This window comes from Homo sapiens, chromosome 3 (genome assembly GCF_000001405.40).
Source record: "Homo sapiens chromosome 3, GRCh38.p14 Primary Assembly".
Classification (NCBI taxonomy): Eukaryota; Metazoa; Chordata; class Mammalia; order Primates; family Hominidae; genus Homo; species Homo sapiens.
The window spans coordinates 75,378,473-75,403,173 of record NC_000003.12 but is presented as its reverse complement, the minus strand read 5'-3'; the positions used below and the strand labels follow the sequence as shown (position 1 = coordinate 75,403,173).

The following is a 24,701-nucleotide window of genomic DNA, read 5'->3' as shown; positions in this document are numbered from 1 at the left end:
AAAAAAGAAAGAAATCGAAATACTTATGATCTGAGGGTCATCTGCATACGTATTTATCTATACACATACATATATACACAAGCCTCTTTCAACTTTAACTCAGTCACAATTATTTAAAAATCTCTCCCTGATCCTTCTTACAGCTATGTTTCTCTCTCTCTTTTTTTTTGAGATGGAGTCTTGCTCTTTCGCCCAGGCTGGAGTGCAGTGGTGTGATCTCAGCTCACTGCAACTCCACCTTCCAGGTTCACGCCATTCTCCTGCCACAGCCTCCCTGCGTCTGCCACCACGCCCGGCTAATTTCTTGTATTTTTAGTAGAGATGGGGTTTCACCGTGTTAGCCAGTATGGTCTCGATCTCCTGACCTCGGGATCTGCCCACCTCAGCCTCCCAAAGTGTTGGCATTGCAGGCGTGAGCCACTGTGCCCGGCACAGCTCTGTTTCTCTCATCTTCACCACACTGTTGCCACAGTCATCTATACAAACTGTACTAGTATTCCTATTGCTTCTGTAACAAATTGCCACAAACTCAGTGGTTTAAAACAGCACACATGTATTCTCTTACAGTTCTAGTAGTCAGATGTTTGCAATGAAGATTTCTGCATGGCTGCATTCCTTTTGGAGGTTTCAAGGCAAAATCTTTTTCCTTGCCTTTTCCCATTTCTAAAGACTGCCTACATTCTTGGACTCATGGCTTCATCGTTCCAACTGCTGGTTCTGTTGTCACAACTCCTTTTTCTGACTCTCTGACTCTGACTCTCTTGCCTTCCTCCTTTTTTTTTTTTTGAGATGGAGTTTTTCTCTTGTTGCCCAGGCTGGAGTGCAATGGTGCAATCTCGGTTCACTGCAACCTCCACCTCCTGGGTTCAAGCAATTCTCCTGCCTCAGCCTCCCAAGTAGCTGGGATTACAGGCATGCACCACCATCCCTGGCTAATTTTCATATTTTTAGTAGACATGGGATTTCACCATGTTGGCCAGGCTGGTCTCGAACTCCTGACCTCAGGTGATCCACCCACCTTGGCCTCCCAAAGTGCTGGGATTACAGGTGTGAGCCACTGCACTCAGCCACCTTCCTCCTTTTAAGGACCCTTGTGATTATATAAACCCCTTCCAGATAATCCAGGATAATCTTCCCCACTCAAAATCCTGAACTTAATCACATCTGCCAGTCCCTTTTACCATGAATGTCTGGTAACATAATCACTGCCTGGGGATTAAGGCCTGTGGACATCTTTGGGGGCCGTTACTCTGACTACTACATGGACCATCTTTGACTTTCTTACCTCCCACTCACTTTTCTTTTTTCTTTCCCTTTTTCTTTTTCTTTTTTTTTTTTTTTTTTTTTTTGAGGTGGAGATTATCTCTTGTTGCCCAGGCTGGCATGCAATGGCGCAGTCTCAGCTCACTGCAAACTCTGCCTCCCAGATTCAAGTCATTCAGCTGCCTCAGCTTCCTCACTGGGATTACAAGCACCTGCCACCACGCCCGGCTAATTTTGTATTTTTAGCAGAGACGGGGGTTTTCTATGTAGTCAGGCTGGTCTTGAACTCTCCATCTCAGGTGATCTGCCTGCCTCAGCCTCCCAAAGTGCTGAGATTACAAGCGTGAGCCACCGCACCTGGCCCCTCCACTCACTTTTCAACCTTTTCCAAACAAGCTTCTGTCCCACCCCCCATTCCATATGGTTTCAAAATGGTTCTTGATGGCCTCCATGTTGCTGAAACCATGGGATTGTTCTAACTGTCCTTCTTCTTGACCTTTGGGCACTGTAGACCAAACAGCTTGAGACATAGGCAGGCAGCCTGGAGGAACAGAGCATTTGGGCGATGGCTGGTCCTCATGAACCTGTCCTGCTGTCACCCAGCAGCACATCCTCGTGGGACTGAGGCTGGCTACAGAAGGCATTCCACACCCCCTTGCTCCATGAGTTACCCAAGGCTCCGTGTGCCTAGGCTTTCTTTATTGCTTAAGAGTGTGGATCAGATAACTGCAGGTGAAGTTTTCTTAAACATTTTTGTTTACACATCCAAAGTTGATAACTGGGTGAGCTTTCACAAAGTAAAGCACATGCATGCCATGCAGATCAAGGAACAGGGCATGGCCAGCTTGCCTGATCTCCTCGTTCTCCCCTCCCTAACGTTAGCTCCTCTCCTCACAAAGGTAATGCTACCTTTGTGATTTTTTTTTTCCTTTTAAATAGACTTAATGTGTTAGAGAAGTTCTAGATTCATAGAAAAATGGAGCAGAGGCCAGGTGCTGTGGCTCACACGTGTAATCCCAGCACTTTGAGAGGCCGAGGCGGGCAGATCACGAGGTCAGGAGTTCGAGACCAGCCTGACCAACATGATGAATCCCCGTCTCTACTAAAAATACAAAAAATTAGCCGGGTGTGGTGGTGCATGCCTGTAATCCTAGCTACTTGGGAGGCTGAGGCAGGAGAACTGCTTGAACCTGGGAGGTGGAGGTTGCAGTGGGCTGAGATCTTACCATTGTATTCCAGCCTGGGTGACAAAGAAAGAAAAACAGAAAGGAGAGAGAGAGAGAAAGAAAGAAAGGAGGGAGGGAGGGAAGGAAGGAAGGAAGGAAGGAAGGAAGGAAGGAAGGAAGAAAGGAAGGAAGGAAGAAAGGAAGGAAGGAAGGGAAAAGGAAAGAAAGGGAAAAGAAAAGAAAGAAAGAAAAATGGAGCAGAAAGTGCAGAGTTTTCATCAACCTCTACTGCCACCTGCCACACACACACACATGCGCAGCTTCCCCACTAGCAATATCAAACCTGAGTGGGATATTTGTCATAGTCAATAAATCTACATTGACACATCACTATCAACCAGAGTCCATAGTTTACATGAGGGCTCACTCTTGGTGTTGTACATTGCATGGGTTTGTACATATGGACAATGACGTGGATCCACCATTGTAGTATCACCCAGAGTAGTTTCACTGCCCTAAAAATCCTGTCTTTCACCAATTCATTCCTCCTTTCTGCTGACCTCTGGCAACCGTGGATATTTTCACTGTCTCCATAGTTTTGCTTTATCCAGAATGTCATATAGTTGGAATCATACAGTGTGCAGCCTTTTCAGAAGGGCTTCTTTCACTTAGGAGTATGCATTTAAGGTTTCTCCATGTCTTTTTGTGGTTTGATAGCTCATTTCATTTTAGTGCTAAATAACATTCCATTGTCTGGATATGGGCCTAGGCTTCTTTGTTTGTTGTTGTTGTTGTTGTTGTTGTTGTTGTTGTTGTTGTTTGAGATGGGGTTTTGCTCTGTTTCCCCAGCTGGAGTGCAGTGGCACAATCTCAGCTCACTGCAGCCTCCACCTCCGGGGTTCAACCAATTCCGCCACCTCAGCCTCCAGCGTAGCTGCAATTACAGGGGCGTGCCACCACACCCGGCTAATTTTTTGCATTTTTAGTAGAGATGGAATTTCACCATGTTGGCCAGGCTGGTCTCGAACTCCTGACCTCAGGTGATCCATCCGTCTCAGCCTCCCAAAGTGTTGGGATTACAGATGTGAGCCACCACACCTGGCCGGGCCTAGGTTTTTGAAGAAGGAATTGAACTGAGTGTAGGCCAGGTTGTACTGTTGAAGTGTCTTCTTTGTACTTGGAATGTGCTAGGACAGATAGACTTCAAAGTGCAAAGCGCCTGAAGGATCTGGCATTAGTCAATTCTATGCACTGAGCTTCTGTCCCCAGAATACCACTCTCAGAGTAAGAATATGGCAAGGCCGGTTGGATAGGTGGGGCATGGATTGGAGGCTCAGGCCACTGCACTGCACATACAGGTCTTGATGTAAACGGTCTGGTGGAGGTCAAGTTCTGTTTAGCGGGGGTAGACTATGGGACAGACTGAAGAAAGGTAATGGTCTAAACGCAGAAAAAGTTTCATTCCCACTCATGTGACAGTCTGTGGAGCAGGCAGCTCCTCTCCTCATGAACCTGGGACCCAGGTATCTTCCATGTTGTGGCTCTGCTTCTCCAGAGCCTTGTCATTTTTTTCATCTAGCTATAGTGACAAGATCTTTTGGATGAGCCGTCAATATTAAACCAAAGGCAAACTCTGAAAATTGATTTGACGTGTGGTCAGCTGCTCATTTTGCACAGTGTGGGGACTGCTGGGGTGATGGACAAGAAGGTTTTCATGAGGAGGCTGAAGAGATCTAAGTATAGGGGTGCCAGCCTGGGGCACTTCAGAAGGGGCACTAGCCTACGGGTAGCATCAGGGTGATCCTGATTTCCCTGGGTCAGGGTGTGGCTCACGACGGGGTGCTGAGAACCCACCAAGAAGGCTGGAACTTTCAGTACTCATTGTTTTATGAGGGCCTGCCTGTGTGCCAGGTGGGAAGACACTGACCAGAGGCCCAGGGACACTGAAGGGTCTCGGCCTGGTCTCTTGGTGCCTGGGGGGTACACTGTACAAGCGATGATGTAGTTCCAAGGGGCAGGATTCTGACCCACACTCCTGGTGCCAATGTCCATTTTGCCACTCATGTTAGATTTTGCTTCTCTAAGTGAACTTACTCAGGATAGCTGGGTTCTTGGCCATTCTTCCAGTGGTTTTCAAGGGTGAAAAAAGGAGTTTCAGCAAGACAGCTAACATCTGGATGAGCGAGCCAGGAAGTGTCTGTAGCCTTCCTCTAGAGAGCACTCTGGACTGGTGGGCATGAGGACCCCACTTTCATGCACGTCCATGTGAAGAGGCCACCAAACAGGCTTTGTGTGAGCAACATGGCTGTTTATTTCACCTGGGTGCAGGCGGGCTGAGTCTGAAAAGAGAGTCAGTGAAGGGAGACAGGCGTGGGGCCATTTTATAGGATTTGCATAGGTAAAGGAAAATTACAGTCAAAGGGGGGTTGTTCTCTGGTGGGCAGAGTGGGGGTCACAAGGTACTCAGTGTGGGAGGTTTTGAGCCAGGATGAGCCAGGAGAAGGAATTTCACAAGACAATGTCATCAGTTAAGGCAGGAACAGGCCATTTTCACTTTTCTTTCTTTTTTTTTTTTTTTTTTTCAGCAACAAGGCTGTTTATTTCACCTGGGTGCAGGCAGGCCGAGTCCGAAAAGAGAGCAAAGGGTGATGGGATTATCATTAATTCTTAAAGGTTTTGGGATAGGCGGTGGAGTTAGGAGCAATGTTTTGTGGGCAGGAGGTGGATCTCACAAAGTACATTCTCAAGGGTGGGGAGAATTATAAATTACAAAGAACCTTCTCAAGGGTGAGGGAGATTACAAAGAACTTTCTTAAGGGTGTTGGAGATTACAAAGTACATCAGTTAGGGTGGGGCAGAAACAAATCACAATGGTGGAATGTCATCAGTTAAGGCTATTTTCACTTCTTTTGTGGATCTGGGACGTGAGGAGAGCCTCTGCCCGGCCTCGCCGTCTGGAAAGTGAGGAGCCCTTCTGCCCGGCCACCCCGTCTGGGAAGTGAGGAGCGCCTCTGCCCGGCCGCCCATCGTCTGGGCAGTGAGGAGAGCCTCTGCCCGGCCGCCCATCGTCTGGGATGTGAGGAGCGCCTCTGCCTGGCCACCCCATCTGGGAACTGAGGAGCGCCTCTGCCCGGCTGCTCTGTCTGGGAGGTCTACCACGGAGGCCAGACGCAGTGTGGGGGCTGGACGTGGTGGCTCATGCCTGTAATCCCAGCACTCTGGGAGGCCGAGGCAGGTTGATCACTTGAGGCTAGGGGTTCGAGACCAGCCTGGCCAACATGGCGAAACATATGAAAATTACAACAAAGCAACCAACCAACCAACCCAGCAACAACAAAACAGGTCTACCCTGGAGTTATACTCTAAGTTTTTCTGTTTTCCTCCCTTTCTGATCCTTTATCCCACTTTCTTTTTCTTCCTCTTCCTTCTCCTTCTTGTCAAAGACATAGAGGATTGAGTTATTATCATTGATCCATACAAAGTTCCTGTCTCATTTATTTTCTTTCATTCTCACCCCCATTTATATTCCCCGTCTTCCCATGTGCAACCTTCCTAATGTGTTTGATATGCATCTTTTTGTTCGTAGGTATTTTTAGAAAATGTTAAATAAAAAAAAAATTTAAAAAAGCCCTGCAAAGGCAGGAAAGCCGAACTGGCTGCTGAGCCCCTTCTGGTTGGCCACACAGTACCCACGCCTGTAGCCCCTGGACTCCTAGTGTGGGCTAAGGTGGAGTGGACCCTCTGGCTTGGTCACAGCACAATGGGCCACCTGGAAACCATCCAAAAGAGAAGAACTACCAGCCCATGCCCTAGGTGCAGCTGCCACCTGCACATCAGGCACCAGCAGCAATGGCCAGACCATCCCTGATTCTCCATGCCCTCCCCATCCCAGCCCCAACAGCAAGGACTCCCTGACAGGACGCTGCAGTAGTGGCTGTCGGGAAGTCGGCTGGGCAGGTGCATAAGGATAAAGATAGACTCTCAGCCCCATCCTGATGGCCACGATGTGCTCATCCCCTGGTAGCTCCTCAGCCCTATCCTAGTGGCCACGGAGTGACATGCAGGCAGCAGCCTTGGGAACCCCGATTGCCCCTCCTCACACGTGCCCATCACACGACTTGGGTGAAGGGGAGGTGAAGTCAGGCTGTGGCCCCAGCGGCGCCATGAGGCCGAGAACCAGTGCTCAGCCTCATCCCCGTGGCTGCAGAGTGCCAAGTGCCAGATCCTGCTCTCTGGGTGCCAGTCAGGAGCAGCTGGCAAGGGCAGCGCAGCCTGTGGGGCCCTCGGGCGTGGCCGGCCGCAGCTCCCGGAAGCCACGTCAGCCCACGGGCGCTGCAGCTGCAGCCGCCACATTGAGCAGGGGTCGCCGAGGATTGGGAATCCCCGAGGAGGCGGGCGCCTCCAGCCGCGCGGACCCCGGGGGCCAGCCCAGCCGCGGCAAGTCAGGTAGTCTGCGGCGGGAGCTCCGGGCATGGGCTTCGGCCCGGGGTGCAGGAGGCGCGCACCCTCTGGCCGGATGGGCGGCACACTCAGGGCCCAGGAGGCCATCCCAGGGGAGCCCCGCCAGCCCCGGCCGGAGCCCGAGCTGCAGCTGCCACCTGCAAGTGGTGCGCTGGCTGCAGCGGTGGCAAACCCGGATCCCATCCTCGCGCCTCGCGCCCATCAGCGCGGACCCCGGGGGCGACGCAGTGACGAAGCAGGGCTGTGGGCCCAGCGGCGGCACCAGGCAGAGAAGCACCACTCAACCCCATCCCTGGGCTGCAGAGGGCCCAGCGCGGGGGGCTCAGAGCATCGGGAGCCGGTGGAAGAGGAGAAGAGCGAGCGGGCGACAGTCAAACAGGCCCTGGGGCAGGGCGCGCCTCGCGCTCCAGGGAGCCCCGCCAGCCCGAGGCACCTGAGCAGCAACCGCCACCTGCACTGGGCACCACGAGACAGCTGCTAGGGCGGTTTCTCTGCCTGGGGCCTGTTGCTCGGACCAGCTAAGGTGCGCCTGCTCACTGGTCCTAACCGTTCTGTTGGGCGTTTCTGCTGAGAGGCGGGAGGCGCTGAGAGTCTGTGCGAAGGTCCGTGGACAGACTGCATTGCTTGTTGTTGCGCTTCGGAGGCGGCGATGCCCGAAGGCAAGCTGAAATACGGCTGGAGCGTTCCCAGGCTACAATTTGCAGCGACGATTATGGAAGACGAGCCAGAGTGGTGGCCCACCCTCAGGGAGCGCTTGTGCTCAGATGGCTTCTCATTTCCCCAATACCACATTAAATCATCTCATCTGAGGAGGATCCACAGAGCTGTCTTCTGTGGTAATCTGGAGAAACTGAACTACCTTCTGTTAACATATCATGACGCTGTCTGAGTAGTTGTCGACCTTGTTTCCACATTAACTGGCTGTTTTGTTGTGGCTGCACTTCTGTTTCATTACCTTCATCTTGCAGGACAGAGTCTTGGCCGCAGACTGAGCCTGTACCTCACCCGTCTCCCACCGTCTCTTGGTACTGGCCACGGCCATGCTGAGCAGCTCTATGGAGGCCTGGTGGGCTAGCTTGGGGGTCCAGCCAGCGGTCCTTTCACAGCTGGGGAGTGGAGCCTGGGCCTGAGGTCTCCTGTGCGCCTCCCAGCGCCTGTGCCAGCGCTGTGTGCCTTTTCATTTTCACTTCTTTTGTGGTGGAATGTCATCAGTTAAGGCAGGAACCTGCCATCTGGATGTGTACGTGCAGGTCACAGGGGATATGATGGCTTAGCTTGGGCTCAGAGGCCTGACACCCAGGGCAGGCTGGCTCAGCCCCTTTGACTTCAGATTTCAGGGAAGGCCAGGGAGCTGGATTGGGTGCCTGGATTTTCTGAGAATTATGTTTCTGAGAGGATTTTGAGACCTAAACAGGAATACTTTACACACAGGTCATCAAGCAGGAACTGGGAAGTTCCGAAGCTGCCCTCCTTCCCACCACCTCCTCCCTTCAGAGTCCAAGGGCTGCCAAGCTGTCTCCCACACACCTCAGTGAAAAGTCCCTGGCTCTCCTCCCAGCCACCTCGCTGTGACCTTGTGAGGTGTGAGAAGGAGGAAGGGGATCCACGTTCTGGATGAACCTTCCTTCCTCCTTGCCGATAAATAGTTTAGGCCCCTGCGCCTGCTGGGCCTCAGACCTTCTCAGAGCCCAGGGCCCGCTGTGGCTCCTGCAAGCTGCCTGGGAATTCCACGGAGGCTGACTGGCTGCCTGTCTTATTCCCAGTCTGCTGCAACCCATTTCCTAAGCTTGGGTGGCTGAAAACAACAGAAATTCATCCTCTCACAGTTCTGGAGGCCAGAGTCTGAATGCAGGTGTTGGCAGGGCTGTGCTGCCTTTGAAGGTTCTAGGGAAGAATCCTTCCTGACTTTTTCCAGTTTTGGGTGGTGGCCGGCAATACGCGGCATTCCTTGGCTTCAGATGCATCATTCCAGCTGCACACAGCTGTCTTCCCTTTGAGTCTCTTCTTTTCTTCTTATAAGGATACCAGTCATATGGTGTGAAGGGCCCACCTTACTCCAGTATGTCGCCAAGTTAATTCGTTACATCTGCAACCACCCAATTTCCAAATGTCACATTCTGAGGTTCCTGATTGAAGGGGTGGGTTGCCCCTCCACACCTGTGGGCGTTTCTCGTTAGGTGGAATGAGAGACCTGGAAAAGAAAGAGACACAAAGTATAGAGAAAGAAAATAGGGCCCAGGGGACGGGCGTTCAGCATACTGAGGACCCATGCAGGCACCGGCCTCTGAGTTCCCTTAGTATTTATTGATAATTATCAGGCGTTTCCGGAGAGGGGGATTTGGCAGGACAATAGGGTAATAGCCAAGAGAAGGTTAGTAGGAAAACACGTGAACAAAGCTCTCTGCATCTTAAACAAAGTAAAGAATTAAGTGCTGTGCTTTTGATGTGCATTCACATAAACATCTTAATCCATTAAAGAGCAGTATTGCTGCCAGCATGTCCCACCTCCAGCCCTAAGGTGGTTTTCCCTTATCTCAGTAGATGGAATATACAATCGGACTTGACACCAAGACGTTCCATTGCCCAGGGACAAGCAGGAGACAAATGCCTTCCTCTTATCTCAACTGCAAAGAGGCCTTCCTCTTTCACTAATCCTCCTCAGCACAGACCTTTTATGGGTGTCAGGCTGGGGGACAGTCAGGTCTTTCCCTTCCCAGGAGGCCATATCTCAGGCTATCACATGGGCAGAAACCTTGGACAATACCTGGCTTTTCCAGGCAGAGGTCCCTGTGGACTTCCGCAGTGTTTTGTGTCTCTGGGTACTTGAGATTAGGGAGTGGTGATGACTCTTAACAAGCATGCTGCCTTCAAGCGTTTGTTTAACAAAGCACACCCTGCACAGCCCTTAATCCATTTAACCCTGAGTTGACACAGCACATGTCTCAGGGAGCACAGGGTTGGGGGTAGGGTTACAGATTAACGGCATCTCAAGGCAGAAGAATTTTTCTTAGTACAGAACAAAATGGAGTCTCTTATGTCTACTTTCTACACAGACACAGTAACAATCTGATCTCTCTTGCTTTTCCCCACACTGATGAACGTGAATTTGAGGGGACACCATTCAACCCACAGCAGAGCCCCACCATCACCTCTCTGCACAGGTCACCCTGCCTGTCTTTCCTCTTCAGAACCAAGACAGAGCCAAGAGTGATTTCTTGAAATGAAACTGCATCCTCTCATCCCAATAAGGCATGGCCTCACTAGTGGGAGATGAGCAAATGAAAGCCTCCCTCAGGATGGGCATCCACACGTCCAGGGGATACTCCCCCAATTTTTTTTCCTGGTTTATAAAGGTGCTTCAGGACTTCTTGGCTCCTGGCCGATACCTTAGTGCTTCCTGAAGGGGAAATAGCCCTCCAAACCATTCAGTGGGCCATCCCAGACCAAGTTTTCTGACCCAGACATTGAAACAGGAGGAGTAACCTTATCCCCCTTGCAGGGCAAGCTACAGGGGCATGGCTCGCTTCTCAGTACCCTGCTGCTCAAACCCCTAGAGGGAGCATGCAGACGGGCATGTCGTGGGGAGCGTTTCTGGGCTCTGGCCCCACAGCAGCGTGTGGAATTCAGTTCGGGGTGTTTACAGCTCCCGAAGCCCCAGTGGGCATGTGTTACAGAGGTCTCCTTCAGTTTTGTCATCTGCAGGTGGCTTGTGTTAATCAGCTCAATTAGGCCCTCTGCCTTATCACAAAGACAGAGGGCTTTCTGTATCCCGGGTTCTTGCCCTAGTGTACTTGAAAAATCAGATCGCATGTGGACTTGGAGAATGAATGCAAGATTTTATTGAGTGGAGGAGGTGGCTCTCAGATGGATGGGGAGCCAGAAGGCGGATGCAATGGGAAGGTGGTCTTCCCCTAGAGTCGGGCTGCCTAGCAGCCAGACTCTCCTCCGACAGCCCCCAACTGAATTCCACATCTCCCCACTGTCAAAAGCCTGCCAGCATCTGCTGATGTCTGTCGGTGTGCTCTTCTGCTTCTCTCCTCCTCTCAATGTCCAGCCACTTGTGTCTGTGCCCACTAGGGTCTTGGGTTTTTTATGGGCACAGGATGGGGGTCATAGCAGGCCAGAGTAGTCTTGGAAAATGCAACATTTGGTCATGAAAACAGGAGTGCCAGTTCTCACTAAGGTCCAAAGGCACAAGCCCAAGGGTGGAGCCCTAGCCAGGGACTCCACCCTTCTCTACCCAGCACTCCCCTGCCACCCTTCCATATCAACATGAAAGCTGACATTGGCTCCTGTGCCCCACCTCTGGGCCTGGTTTTGTGACCTCTGCACCAGAGCTGCTAGGGAGGCCCTACCCCACATGTTGTTAACTCAATAGCCCTTCCCCAGGGGAACCAATGTCCTCCTGTCCCCAAACCCAAGGAGGAGTTGTGGGTTCCTGGGCCTCTTGTAACCCGACTGAATATTTTCCAGGTTACCTAACCAAACTCCTGCAAAACCACACCACCTATGACTGTGATGGGGACTATCTGAATCTACAGTGCCCTCGGCATTCTACGATAAGTGTCCAATTGGCATTTTATGGGCAAGATTACCAAATGTGTAGTTCCCAGAAGCCTGCCTCCCAGAAGGAAGATAGCTTAACCTGTGTGGCATCCACCACCTTCCAGGTATTGCCTTTTATAGACAGGTTAAGAAGATACAGTTTCAACAGACACTCTTTCTGTCTCTCTGGGTATAAATATATTTGTGATTATATAGTTCAATCCAAGCAAAACTGATCCATGAAAAATCCCAACTTATACAGATCACCAGTTTTGTAGGTGAGCTATTATTTGCTTCTCAAAGGATTTGTTACCCAACAAAACTAAATAGAATTCCTACCTATTGTAGAGCCCCCTTTGTACACTTCAATATGAATTTATTTGTAGGTTTACTCCTTACTTCAGTATAGCAAAGTACAACCAGGATGGATTCCAACCTCCAGGCCCATATCTCCCATAAATACTCCCGTAGAAAGGGAAGGTGGGTTCTTTAATGGAAACCACAAGTATCTCTTTGAGGCAGACATCTGAACTCATGACTAACTTCTTAGAAAATGTACTCAAAGGGCCAGGCACGGTGGCTCATGCCTGTAGTCCCAGCACTTTGGGAGGCCAAGGCAGGTGGATCACGAAGTCAGGAGATTGAGACCATCCTGGCTCACACGGTGAAACCCTGTCTCTACTAAAAATACAAAAAATTGGCCAGGTGTGGTGGTGGGCTCCTGTAGTCCCAGCTACTCCAGAGGCTGAGGCAGGAGAATGGCATGAACCCGGGAGGTGGAGCTTGCAGTGAGCAGAGATCACGCCACTGCACTCCAGCCTGGGCAACAGAGCGAGACTCCGTCTCCAAAAAAAAAAAAAAAAAAAAAACAAAAAAGAAATCATTATTAAACATTTTTACTAATTAAATGGTTTTGGAGTACATTCTTTAAAAAAAACAATTAACTATGTTTTCTTCAACAGTGCACATGTAATGCCAACTTTGTATGACATTGCAAAGGAAGATTTTACTATGTTAAGCAGATTAAACAAACAAACTTTTCCTTGAATTCTTTGGGAACAAAGTACAACCTGGTCCAAATCATCCTAACCTAGAATGCACCATCAGCTTGATAGTCAGTTGTTCCTGGATTTACCAGATTTGGGGCAGACTTTTCATGCTTCTCTAAAGAGGGATTCTTAACTGACACCGTGCCTTGTTTTTGCCCTTTTCCTAGTAAAGGAAATGATTTGATTTGGTATCATATCATCTTTCTTGCTTTTTTTTTTTTTTAATTAGAGATGAGGCCTTGCTATGTTTCCCAGGCTGGTCTCCAACTTCTGGGCCCAAGCGATCCTCCTGCCTCAGCCTCCCTCCCAAAATGCTGGGATTACAGGTGTGAGCCACTGTGCGTAGCCTCTTTCTTGTCTTTTAAACAAATAAATGTAAGCTGGGCATGGTGTGCATTCATATATTCCCAGGTACTTGAGAAGCTGAGGTGAGAGGATCCCTTGAGCCTAGGTTTGAGCCCAAGAGTTCAAGGCTGCAGTGAGCTATGATTGCACCACTGCACTCCAGCCTGGGTAACAGAGTGAAACCCTGTCTCTAAAAAACTAAACTAATGCTGGGCGTTGTGGCTCACGCCTGTAATCCCAGCACTTTGGGAGGCCGAGGCAGGCAGATCATGAGGTCAGGAGATCGAGACCATCCTGGCTAACATGGTGAAACCCCGTCTCTACTGAAAATACAAAATTATCTGGGCATGGTGGGGCATGCCTGTAATCCCAGCTACTCGGGAGGCTGTGACAAGGAGAATCACTTGAACCTGGTAGGCGGAGTTGCAGTGAGCTGAGATCTCACCACTGCACTCAGCTTGGGTGAGAAGGGTGAAACTCTGTCTCAAAAAAAAAAAAAAAAAAAAGACACGGTCCTGTTTTCATGGGGTGAACAGTTGAGGGAGAAAGGCAAGCATTAACCAAATAGCCAGACACATCAGCATGCCCTATTGTGACAAATGCTATTTTAGAAAAGGGAAGAAGACTATAGCAGTGGAGGGGGCCTATTTTAGCTTGGGGGTGGTGTTTTAAGTCTTCCAAAGAGAAGCATCCTGTAGGGTGAACACTAGGGCATGCACACTAGCTGCACACTAGGGGCTGAGACAGTGAATCTGCTGAGTGGGAGAGGAAAGGTGTTGATGAGGAGGAAGATGGCCCTGGTTTAAACTGTTGAGAACAGTGTCCTGCACACAGTAGGAGCTCCATGAAGAGTGCTTCCTAATGTTTTCACCAACATATCTGAAGTGGAGCAGGAAGGTGATCAATCACACCCCTGTCCCTGACCTCATTCTAAAACAGTTTGAAACAAGGAGATGCAAAAATCTGACAAGTGTGTTGACAATGGTGATTTTAAAGGTCCTAAAAGATTCTCTGGATATCAGAGCCAATTTCACATAGTAGAGGGGCACATTCCCTGCGGTGGCCTGTGTCATACACAGCCAATTTCACCTTTTCACTGCCTGGTTATTCTGCAAAGTGCATCCTAGAATGACCTTCCTCTCTGAGCTCCTCTTCAAAATTCTGATTCTTTCTCAAACTATAAAGCCTCTGGCATTTGCCAAGAGCCAAGGCCCTCCTGAAGCCACAGTTTGAGAACAAGCGAAGAGGCAGACATGAGAAAGAAGTACCACCCCTGGCAGGGAGAGCTGACACTTCCCAGGCTACTGCATCCTTCTCAGGGCCCAGAAATGAATGAGAGGTAATTAAAGCAGAAAGCATTTTGCAGCAGCTCAGCTCAGCTCTTCGAAGCTGCCATGGTCCCAGGATCAGTGGTGTGCCCTGAGGACAGCCAAGGGACATTCCTCGAGGCCCTGGAAATCATCAGCCACCTCCAGCAACTTCACCGGGCCTCCCTGGGAAGTCTCCCTTGCTGATGGGCACGAAGGCACCAGGGCCTCCTGTACATGGAAAACTCACAATCTAGGAATGTCCTGTGGTTGTTGATCCTGGGACATCTCCAGAAGAATTTAGTTAAGCCCTCCAAGAAAGGAAAAAAGGTTTTCTTGCTGCTGAAGATGTCTCACTTGTTCTTTTTTTAAAAAGCAGTGCAGTTGAATTTGCAGTTTGTTTTCACTTTCTTTCCATTTCCTGTTGCTACTTCTCCAAGATCTCAGCTGGGCTGAGGAACTAATAAAAATAAGCAATTTTATGTAGTAGGAATATTCAGTTTCCACTCCCTTCTCCCAGCCTGTGGCAGTGTGCTTGGCCTGCAGAATTCTTGCTCTGCCCTCTGTTTCAGTGGGTGCCGTCATCTGCCAGCTGCTTTGCCTGGGGATTCTGACATCCCAGGGCTTATTCTTAGGGTCAGTTCAGCAGAGTCTTAAACCACCTTCAAAGGAGTCGGTCACGCTGCCGTCCTCTCTGCATCTTTCTGTAGTCCTTTCTGATAATATTTAGCAAATCACTTTAGCACAGAATCTTCGAATTCTTTCCAGATTTACGATGGAAACACAGAGGCAAAGAGCTTGGGGTAGAAAGCAGAAGAGCAGGTGCTGGGAGAGTTTGATGGTGAATTTTGAGTTGGTCACAGTCATTTTGCTTTACTAAGTCCAGGGAAGCTCATCTTCAGAGTTAACCACCATATATATATATATTTTTTTTTTCTTTTTTTTTTTTTTTTTTTTGAGATGGAGTCTTGCTCTGTCACCCAGGCTGAAGTGCAGTGGCACACTCTCAGCTCACTGCAACCTCCACTTCCTGGGTTCAAGTGAGCACGTCCGGCTAATTTTTGTATTTTTTAGTAGAGACGGGGTTTCACCATGTTGGCCAGGCTGGTCTTGAACTCCTGACTCAAGTGATCCACCTGCCTCAGACTCCCAAAGTGCCAGGATTACAGGCGTGAGCCACCATGCCTGGCCCAGAGTTAACCACTCTATTGAGGTGTTGTTTATTTTTCTTAAAATTCTATTACACGTGAATACAATACAATGATTTTTAGTAAATTTAGAGTTGTGCAACCATCACTACCCTCCAGTTTTAAAACATTTTCACAATCCCCCGAAGCTCCCTTATGCCCATTTGCCATCACTGCCCCATTTCCAACCCCCCGGTCCCAGGTAACCACGCATCTACTTTCTCTCTAGATTTGCCTTTTCTGAATATTTCATACAAATGGAATTATGCAATGGATGGTTTTGTGTGTGTGTGCATGGCTGACTTCTTTAACTGAATGTAATATTTCAGAGGTTCATCCATGTTGTAGCATGTATCATATCAGTACTTCACTTTTTTTTTTTTAGAGTTGAAGTCTCACGCTGTCACCCAGACTGGAATGCAGTGGTGCGATGTTCGCTCACTGCCACCTCTGCCTCCCAGGTTCAAGCAATTCTCCCTGCCTCAGCCTCCCAAGTAGCTGGGATTACAGCCGTGTGCCACCACGCCCAGCTCACTTTGTATTTTTAGTACAGACGGGGTTTCGAATATGTTGGCCAGGCTGGTCTCGAACTCCTGACCTCAAGTAATCTGTCCACCTCGACCTCCCAAAGTGGTGGGATTACAGGTGTAAGCCACCATGCCGAGCCTTCACTCCTTTTTATTACTGAGGTGTATTCTGCTGGATGGATATATCATATCTTGTTTTTATTCTCCATTTTTTAAATATTGCAAAATGGGCCTAAAACCACCTCTCTGGAGGATTTGATGATCACATGGATAGCATTGGGTTGTGTGTAAGTATGTGTATCTAACAGGAAGAGTGAGTGACTCTTGCACCGATTTGGAAAGTGATTTTAAAATCTTATCTACATTGCATTTAAAAATATATTGAGTCCACATTTTAAAAATATACCACGTATTTAAAATATTTCTTTTTGGCTTTTAGTTCCCAAGAACATACTCAAAGTGATTGATCCAGCCATTGTTAATCTAAAACCTTTGAAGCAGAAAGATGCTGAATATGGTAATTTTTATGGCTTACTGCCAGCATTTCTTTTTAAGTAAAGGTAAACAGCCCCTGGGTGACCACAGTTGGGCACACCTTGATTAGAATGGAAGGGGCTGTCAGGAGGTGTGTTTGAGGTACCGGTCCTGGTGATGATTAGTGCTTTAGCCAATAGTTGCAATGAAGACCAATTTATTTTGTTTTGACTTTTTTAACATCAGAAGTAGGATAAACCTCCCCTTCATTCTCCTCTCACTTCCTAAAAGGAAAATCACTTTGAAAAGACATCTGCTCAGAAATAAATTTGGGCTTCCTGGGTTACACAATGAGCTTTTTGCAAAGCTGAGCCCATTGGGAGCTGCTGCGTAGGCACCAGTGCCGGCTAGCACCTAAGGACCTCTGTACCTCTGTTCACGCCACCTTCCTCCTTAGTTTCCTTCCTTCCTTCTTTCCTTCCTTCCTTCCTTCCTTTCTTTTGCTTCGGAGTTTCACTCTTCTCACCCAGGGCCGGCTAGGACCTGAGGGCCTCTGTACCTCTGTACACGCCACCTTCCTCCTTAGTTTCCTTCCTCCCTCCCTTCCTCCCTCCCTCCCTCCCTCTCTCCGTTTTCTTCCTTCCTTCCTTCTTCTCCTTCTTTCTTTCTTTCTTGCCCTGTCTCTCTTTCTTTATTCTTCTGTCTCTCTTTCTTTCCCTCCCTCCTTCCCTCTCTCCCTCTCTCCCTCTCTTTCTTTCTTTTTCTCTCTCTCTCTTTCTTTCTTTCCCTCCCTCCCTCTCTCTCTCTCTCTTTCTTTCTTTCTTCTTTCTTTTCTTTCTTTCTTCCTTTCTTTCTTCTTTTTCTTTGGAGTTCTGCTTTTTCTCACCCAGGCTGGAGTGCAGTGGCACAATCTCCACTCACTGCAACCTCTGCCTCTGGGTTCAAGTGATTCTCCTGCCTCAGTCCCCTAAGTAGCTGGGATTATAGGCGTCCACCACCACACCTTGCTAATTTTTGTGCTTTTAGTAGAGATGGGATTTTACCATGTTAGTCAGGCTGGTCTCGAACTCCTGACCTCAGGTGTTCCCGTCGCCTCAGCCTCCCAAACTGCTGGGATTACATGTGTGAACCACTGCACCCGGCCCCTCCTTAGTTTTCACTTGGCTTTTGTAAATGGGGTGGAGGGGTGGGGGGTGGGATGAGGAGGTTGAGCATTTGGATTTTCTTATCAAATCTAGAATGGAATTCAAACCCGTGGGGTCCCTAATAGAAATCGCAGAGACCCAGTAGAGCATCTAAGAATACTTTGGTGAGAGTTTTGTCTTGTGTTACCTTTATTGTATGTATTAGGTCTTTCCCCCCTAAGTATAAAAGTAAAGTATGTTTGATATGAAAACCACATGAAACACCCCTAGTCCAAAAGCTCAGAGAGGACTATGGTAATGTTCTTCGGTGTCCTTTCAGCTGGCCACCTTGGCTTTCTGGCAGGCTCTGTGTTCCTTAGCTCCACTACTCTTTCTTTTTTTAAAAAAATCAACTGATTAATTAACAATTATTATTATTTTTCTAAAGACAGGGCTTTGCCAAGTTGCCCTGGCTGGTCTCGAACTCCCGGGCTCAAGCAATCCACGCACTTCATCCTCCAAAGGTGCTGGGATTACAGGTGTAGGCCACCACACCCAGCCTCCTCTTATTTTTCTAACAGGGTTCCCACCCGATCCATAAACAGCCCGATCCCCCTGCAGTGGGGGCCTGAGAGCCAGCACTGTGCCATCTCTCCTCAAAGGCATCTGTCCTGTCTGACATGGCTAGGAGTCCACCAAGCCACCACCAGGCTACCCTATCACAGGCTTGCTAAGCTCCATCCAGCAGTGTAACCAGGATCTAAAAGCGGATTTGCCTCACGTTTTGCTGTTGTTTCCAAAAAAAAGTAGCCCAATACCACCTCCCTCTGTAAGGGAGGCTTTTTTTATCTCTGGCCACACAGCGGACAGCAACTCCATGCTTAACGTGAGATACTATTGGCCGGGGGTGGTGGCTCACGCCTGTTATCCCAGCACTTTGGGAGGCCAAGGCAGGCAGATCGCCTGAGGTCAGGAGTTCGAGACCAACCTGGCCAACGTGGGGAAGCCCCATCTCTAATAAAAATACAAAAATGTGCTGGTCATGGTGGCATGTGCCTGTAATCCCAGCTACTCAGGAGGCTGAGGCAGGACAATTGCTTGAACCCAGGAGATAGAGGTTGCAGTGAGCCAAGATCGCGCCATTGCACTCCAGCCTGGACAACAAGAGTGAAACTCCATCTCAAAAATAAATAAATAAATAAACAATTAAAATAAACTAAAGGGAGATGTTATTAAGCCTCCAAGGTGTGTGATTAATGTCACTGTCTTTAGGATGGGAAAATCCATTTGTTCCCTTCCACAGTGGAGTGGAAGACCAGCACCTGAAGTTGGAACCAACACTTAAAACAATTTCTAATCCTTTTTGTACTTTAATATTTTCGGGGACTGCTTACTATTTAATAAGTGCTCTTCCTGGGTTAATCTTCTATAATTTAGCCAGAGGCCCCTTTGTTTCATTTCTGTGACTTTTAATTATTCTGGCTGTCCCTGGGGTAGGAACAGCAGAGATCTCTTAGAATAAGCCTACTATGAACAGCTGTGATTAATTGGTTTTGCATTTTTCATGAAACAGGTATGAACTTTGACCCAAGCGAATCGAAGTTTCTGAGGAAAGATGGAATTCTTGTTAGCGACTCTCTGGCAGCCTTTGCTTACATTAGAGATAGGTCAATGAATCAAAGCTTCCTAGAATGCTGATGGATTTACTAAAGTGTTGTTCATAAATGTGCTGTTCAATTATAACACTCAGAGGACTAAAGGACAATGACTTCAAGTTTGACATGCCAACCACCGCTTCTAAGATTCAGAAACACAGAGGCCTGAGTTCAGGCACAGTCGCAATCAGGCAGTCAGCAAGAGAACCACATAAACAGACAAAGTCACACTATTTAGGAGTTGAGCTCCACAGATATTGTTCGCTTTTGAAAAGTAGAAACCCGAGGAATGCATTTCCCAGCTCTAAAATTTGGGAAGGAACTAGAATTATTGAATTCCAACCCTGGCTGGAAGAAAAATGAGCCAGAAGGTCACTTAGTAAACAAGACAGATGATGACCCATGAAGACAGAACCAGTTTCTGGGTCATGAGTGTTATTCCTAATGGTTGCCAAGGTTTCCCTTGTTAGTCTTCCCCATGAGGATCAATCAAACTCAGCCCTCGTGAATTAACAGAGCCAAAAGGCTTATACCAAAGCCGGCCACACCACGGGGACCTCTTCATTGAGGGGAAGGTATGTACAATTTTTCCTCACCACACTCTCTGCTTATCTTAAGATAGAATGCATTTTGGAATGTCATCTGCAAGTTTCAGCAATGCCTGCCTATGTTCAGAGAGACAAAAACCAGAGACTTTCAGTAAAATACATGTTAATGTAACACATAACAGTATTACTATTCAAGGCCTGCAAAGATAGGGCTATTCGGGGTAAGCCTGTCTCAGAGGAAAATAGAGGCTTAGGGAATGTATTTGTCTGTTCTCATGCTACTAATAAAGACATACCTGAGGCTGGGTAATTTATAAAGGAAAGAAGTTTAATGGACTCACAGTTCCACATGGTGAAGAAGGCCTCACAGTCTCGGTGGAAAGTCAAGTCTTACTTGGTAGCAGGCAAGAGAGCTTGTGCAGGGGAAATCCCCTTTATAAAACCATCAGATCTCTTGAGACTTATTCACTATCATGAGAACAGCATGGGAAAGACCCACCCAATGATTCAATTACCTCCCACTACGTCCCTCCCATGACACATGCGGATTAGGGGAGCTACATTTCAAGATGAGATTTGGGTGGGGACACAGCCAAACCATATCAGGGAATGATCTCAATACATGAGATGCAAAGTTCAGTCTCGGGGTCCCCTGATGTTCTATTCTCCTCCTGCATTAGGAGTCCTCCTGTGTGTGTGTGTTTGTGTTGTGTGGTTGTTGGTTTCTTCTGTGGGTCCTCTCTTTTCTAGCCATCTTATCATTTTCATGTCTTGCTGTTCCTGATCATTGTCAATGTTAAGAACCGTAAGGATTTTTCTTGTCAGAAATATCCCCATATTTACAAAGACCCCAGGGAGCTTCTTGGAGAAAAGCCAACATGAAAATCCTCCAGACAGAGAATAACAATTGAAGGGGAATGAGTCTGACATTCTGCTCAGTGAGCTGTGGCCATGCTGTGTGCTTTACCCCAACAACCTTGTCGGTTCCTCTCAACAACTGCCTCAGCCAGCCCAGCTGCCATAACAAAGTACCTGAGGCCACATGGCCTAAATAACAGACATTGATTTTCTCACTGTTCTGGCGGCCAGAAGTTCATGATCAAAGTATCCACCAATCCCTTTCTGGTAAGGGCTGTCTTCCTGCCTTGCAGACAGCAGCCTTCTTGCTTGCCCTCACATGGCAGAGAGGGGGAGAGACAGAGACAGAGACATCTCTTCTTTTTATAAAACCACCAATCCTATCAGATTAGGATTCCACCCTTATGACCTCCTTTAACGTTAATTAGCTCCTAATGAGTGAATTGGGGGGAACACAATTCAGTCCACAGCAACAACCCTGAGAGATGGGACTCTGGTCCCCTGTTCTGCACTTGAAGTCGGTGGTCAGAGGAGTTGAGCCATTTGCCTGAGGACACCATGGACAACGGCAGGGCCAGGATTCAGGCTCAGCTAATACAAGGCTTGCACTCCAGCTACTCTGAATTTTGAGGGATGCAACCACCTCCCCATTCTGATCCTGAGTTGTCTAAATTAGCTTTCCTCCATCCCTTTCTATCCTTTTATGTGATTGTCATTCCCAGAAACCACAGGATAGAGACATTCATTTAGTGACTGTCTCTCCTGCTAGTGGCTCAGCTCCACAGGGGCAGGTGATTTGTCATCTTATTTCGTGTGGTGTCCCTGCATCTAGGATGCGGTGCTGGTACAGAACAGGTGCGCAGTCAGTAGTTAAGGAACAACTGAATGATGACTGCTGATCTGGGCTTATGAGCTTTTTCCTGTGCCTTATTTTCATCCAGTATTTGCTATTTATAAGATGTCAGGTTTTTTTTAATGTAAGGAGTTGATGAGCTGTTATTTGGTTTTATTGAGGGGTGTTTTGGGACATTTATCTCAGCAAACCATGGCCATGCCTCCATATAATGTCCAAGAGAAAGAGTCTCTAAATGCACTGTGTTGGATGTTAGCTAAATGAAATCACCACAAGAAGCTCATGACTTAAATCACAGAGGCTCACAAAGCCCTAGTAGAACGGGCGACTCTGGGCTTGCCTGTAGGTTTTCCTGGTGTGTCTGTATCGCTGTCTGTGTGGCCACTCTAGAGGTGAGAAGCATGCAGCGCATGCTCGGGGGTCTGCAGGCCAGTGTGCCACAGAGGTGCATGTGGACATCAGGCTGGACCATTTCAACCTAAACAGGCAGTGGCCACCAGCCAACGTCACACAGTGCTGAGCTCCATCCTCAATGCTGCTGGAGACAGGTGCCCAGACAACTCTCAGTCGCATCCCCGGCCCCACTGTGGGGATGTGACCCATGGGATGAGCTGGGGTCTCTAGGCACCCCCAAAGCAGGAGCAGCTGGGAGCCAAGAGTGTGAGCAGGGCAGTTTCCAGCCCAAATCACCCAAATAGGTGGCAAATCGAGTGAATCCAAAAGTGCATTTCCCAGGTCAGGCTGCAAGTAGCTTTGACACAGTAGTGCAGTCCAGTGTACATGGGGACAAAGAGATGAGAAACCAAAATCGAGAGATTTGGCCCCGATATTAAAGCACAGAGGTTGGCAGAAGGGAGAGGGAGATGAACAAGTGTTCCTGGTGAAGTGTCTTCTGGGGTCATTTGAATGATCTGTGAGATGGTTTCCCCAACATTGAAAAAGCTTCTTAGGCATGTTTGAATTTACTGTCATTTCAATAATACAGACTTACTCCCTGAATTCATTCTAGAATCAAGATCATGAGTCTGAGGAAGCTCATAGAAAAAAATCGGAAATTAGAGAAATGGAAAAGGAGTGGTGTGTGTGTATGTGTGCATGTGTGAACATGTGTGGGTGTGTGTGCATGTGTGCACGTGTGCACGTGTGCATATGTGTGTGCATGTGTGCACGTGTGTGCACGTGCATGTGTGTGCATATGTGCGTGCGTGTGTGTGCACGTGTGTGCATGTGTGCAAGTGTGCATGTGCATCTGTAAGCATGTGCATGCGTGTGTGCATGTGCATGTGTGTGCATATGTGTGAGCGTGTGTGTGCGTGTGGATGTGTGCATGTGTGTGCGTCTGTGTGTGCATGTGTGTCTGTATCTGTGTGCATGTGTCTGTGTGTGCATCTGTATGTGTATGTGTGCATGTGTGTGTGCACTTGTGCTTTTGTGTGTGCATGTGTATGTGCATGTGTTTGTGTGTACATGTGTGTACATGCGCATCTGTGTGTGCATGTTTGCATGTGTGTGCCTGTATGTGCATACATGTGTATCTCTGTGTGCATCTGTGCATGTGTGTGTGCATGTATGTGTGCATATGTGTGCGTATGTGTCTGTGCATGTGCATGTGTGTTTGCATGTGTGTGCATGCATGTGTATCTCTGTGCATATGTGTATATGTGTGTGCATGTGAGTATGTATTTGTGTGCCTGTGTGTGCATGTGTCTGTATGCATGTGCATGTGTGTGCCTTCGTGTTTGTGTGCATGTGTGTATCTGTGTGTGCATGTGTGTATCTGTGTGTGTCCATGTGTGTGCCTGTACGTATGTGTATCTGTATGTGTGTTTGTGCGTGTGTATCTGTATGTGTGCTTGCATGTGTGTGTAGGTGCAAGTGTGTTTGCATTCATGTGTGTGCATGCATATGTGCGTGTGTATCTGTGTGTGTAAGTGTGTGTTGGAAGTTCTTAGCAAGGCAGTGTAATAGCTGGCTCGGCATGAAACATTTTCCCTTTGCAGATTGTGCACAAGGAGACTTATTTATTTAGACAGTCTTGCATGAGACTATGACCTCTCCTATTCCACCGAATTACTGTTTCATTGACATCTGGCTTTGGGTGTTTACCTCATATGTGCCTGCAGGCATGCCTTTTGTGGCCCAATATTTCCATCGCTGCCCCTGCCCCCTTGGGACAGTGACAGATATGTCATCAGCCTCTGGCAGGCCCTGCTGTGGGCTTTTGGGGCACCTTTTGTGGTATGGGGTAAGGAAGCTGGGCAGAAGGGACAGGCTTGCAGCCTGGGACGTCCTGTGTTGGGAGGCATCATTGTTTCATAAGGGAGGAACTCCAGGGCCACAGACAAGCTCATACTGAAAGAGAAACACAGAAACACGCTCCAGAGTCAGAGCTACGTGATTCCTCCACCAGGGAGGACCACTGGAAATCAGCACCACCTTGTCACGGAGATGTGGATTTGGATGTGTTCCCACGGTCTCCAATCTCTGGTTCCATGACAGAAGGTTTCTGTCACACCCCTAATTGCTGTCAGACCAGCGCTGGGTATGCTTTGTGCTTTCTTCTGGACAACCCTCGGGCCCTGACTGCTGCCTTGATCCTCTCAACAGCAATAGGGCCCCGACAGGGGGAACCCTCGCCATGGCCTCTGGGTGTCTTATCTGGACATGAACGAGCTGGAGTGTGTGTTTGCCCCAAGTCGGGATCTAAGAGTGGAAAGGAGCCTTAAAGGCCATAGGACCCCCTTCGGAGGCTCCCAAGCACATACAGCAGCTGATCAAATTAAAGTCATTCACTCCAGCTGGGGATGAACCAAGGCTAAATTTAAAACAATGCCGGCAATAACACAGTGTGAAGATTCTGTTCAATCACAAGGAAAACTCTCTTTTTCCAGAACACAGAATAGGAAAAGGAGACAAAAAAGTATAAAGTAGTCCAAGTGATTCTAGAGAACAGTTGACATTCCCTTAGTGTAAAGCCTGGGACCATGGAGAGATCCCTGGCCTGAGCTTGGGGTCCCAGCCAAGTGGTGGCTTTGCACAAGTGACTTGACTACAACAAGAGGGGTTGGACCAGCTCATCACTAAGATTCCAGCTGACCAACATCTGGTGAGTTTGTAACTTCAAACTAGTTGGTCCAGATGACTCGGAAGCCTCGTTCCCAGGGACCTGCCAAGCGTTGCCCATGTTATCCATCTCTGGTGGCTGGATCTCAGCAGAGTCGATGCAGACTTGCCCTAAAGAGTGCTCACTTAGCAGGAGGCAGGCCTAGGCCAAGAGGCACCTGGAGTCTTATGAGAGAGAAGCCCTACTGGCAGGAGAACCCAGACACCCTCCTCCCA

The 24,701-nt window shown here is 48.4% G+C and overlaps 1 long non-coding RNA gene and 2 pseudogenes across 1 annotated transcript; 2 read left to right on the top strand and 1 right to left on the bottom strand.

The window, feature by feature from the left end:
- Window positions 7,852-7,986, bottom strand: LSP1P2 (LSP1 pseudogene 2; annotated as a pseudogene).
- LOC124905452 (uncharacterized) lies at window positions 9,907-19,965 on the top strand. The gene is made up of 3 exons (XR_007095964.1): window positions 9,907-11,560; window positions 16,290-16,367; window positions 19,022-19,965. It is a non-coding gene; the product is annotated as an uncharacterized LOC124905452 (long non-coding RNA).
- On the top strand, window positions 11,364-19,115 carry EVA1CP5 (EVA1C pseudogene 5; annotated as a pseudogene).
- Window positions 19,966-24,701: the final 4,736 nt, after the last annotated feature.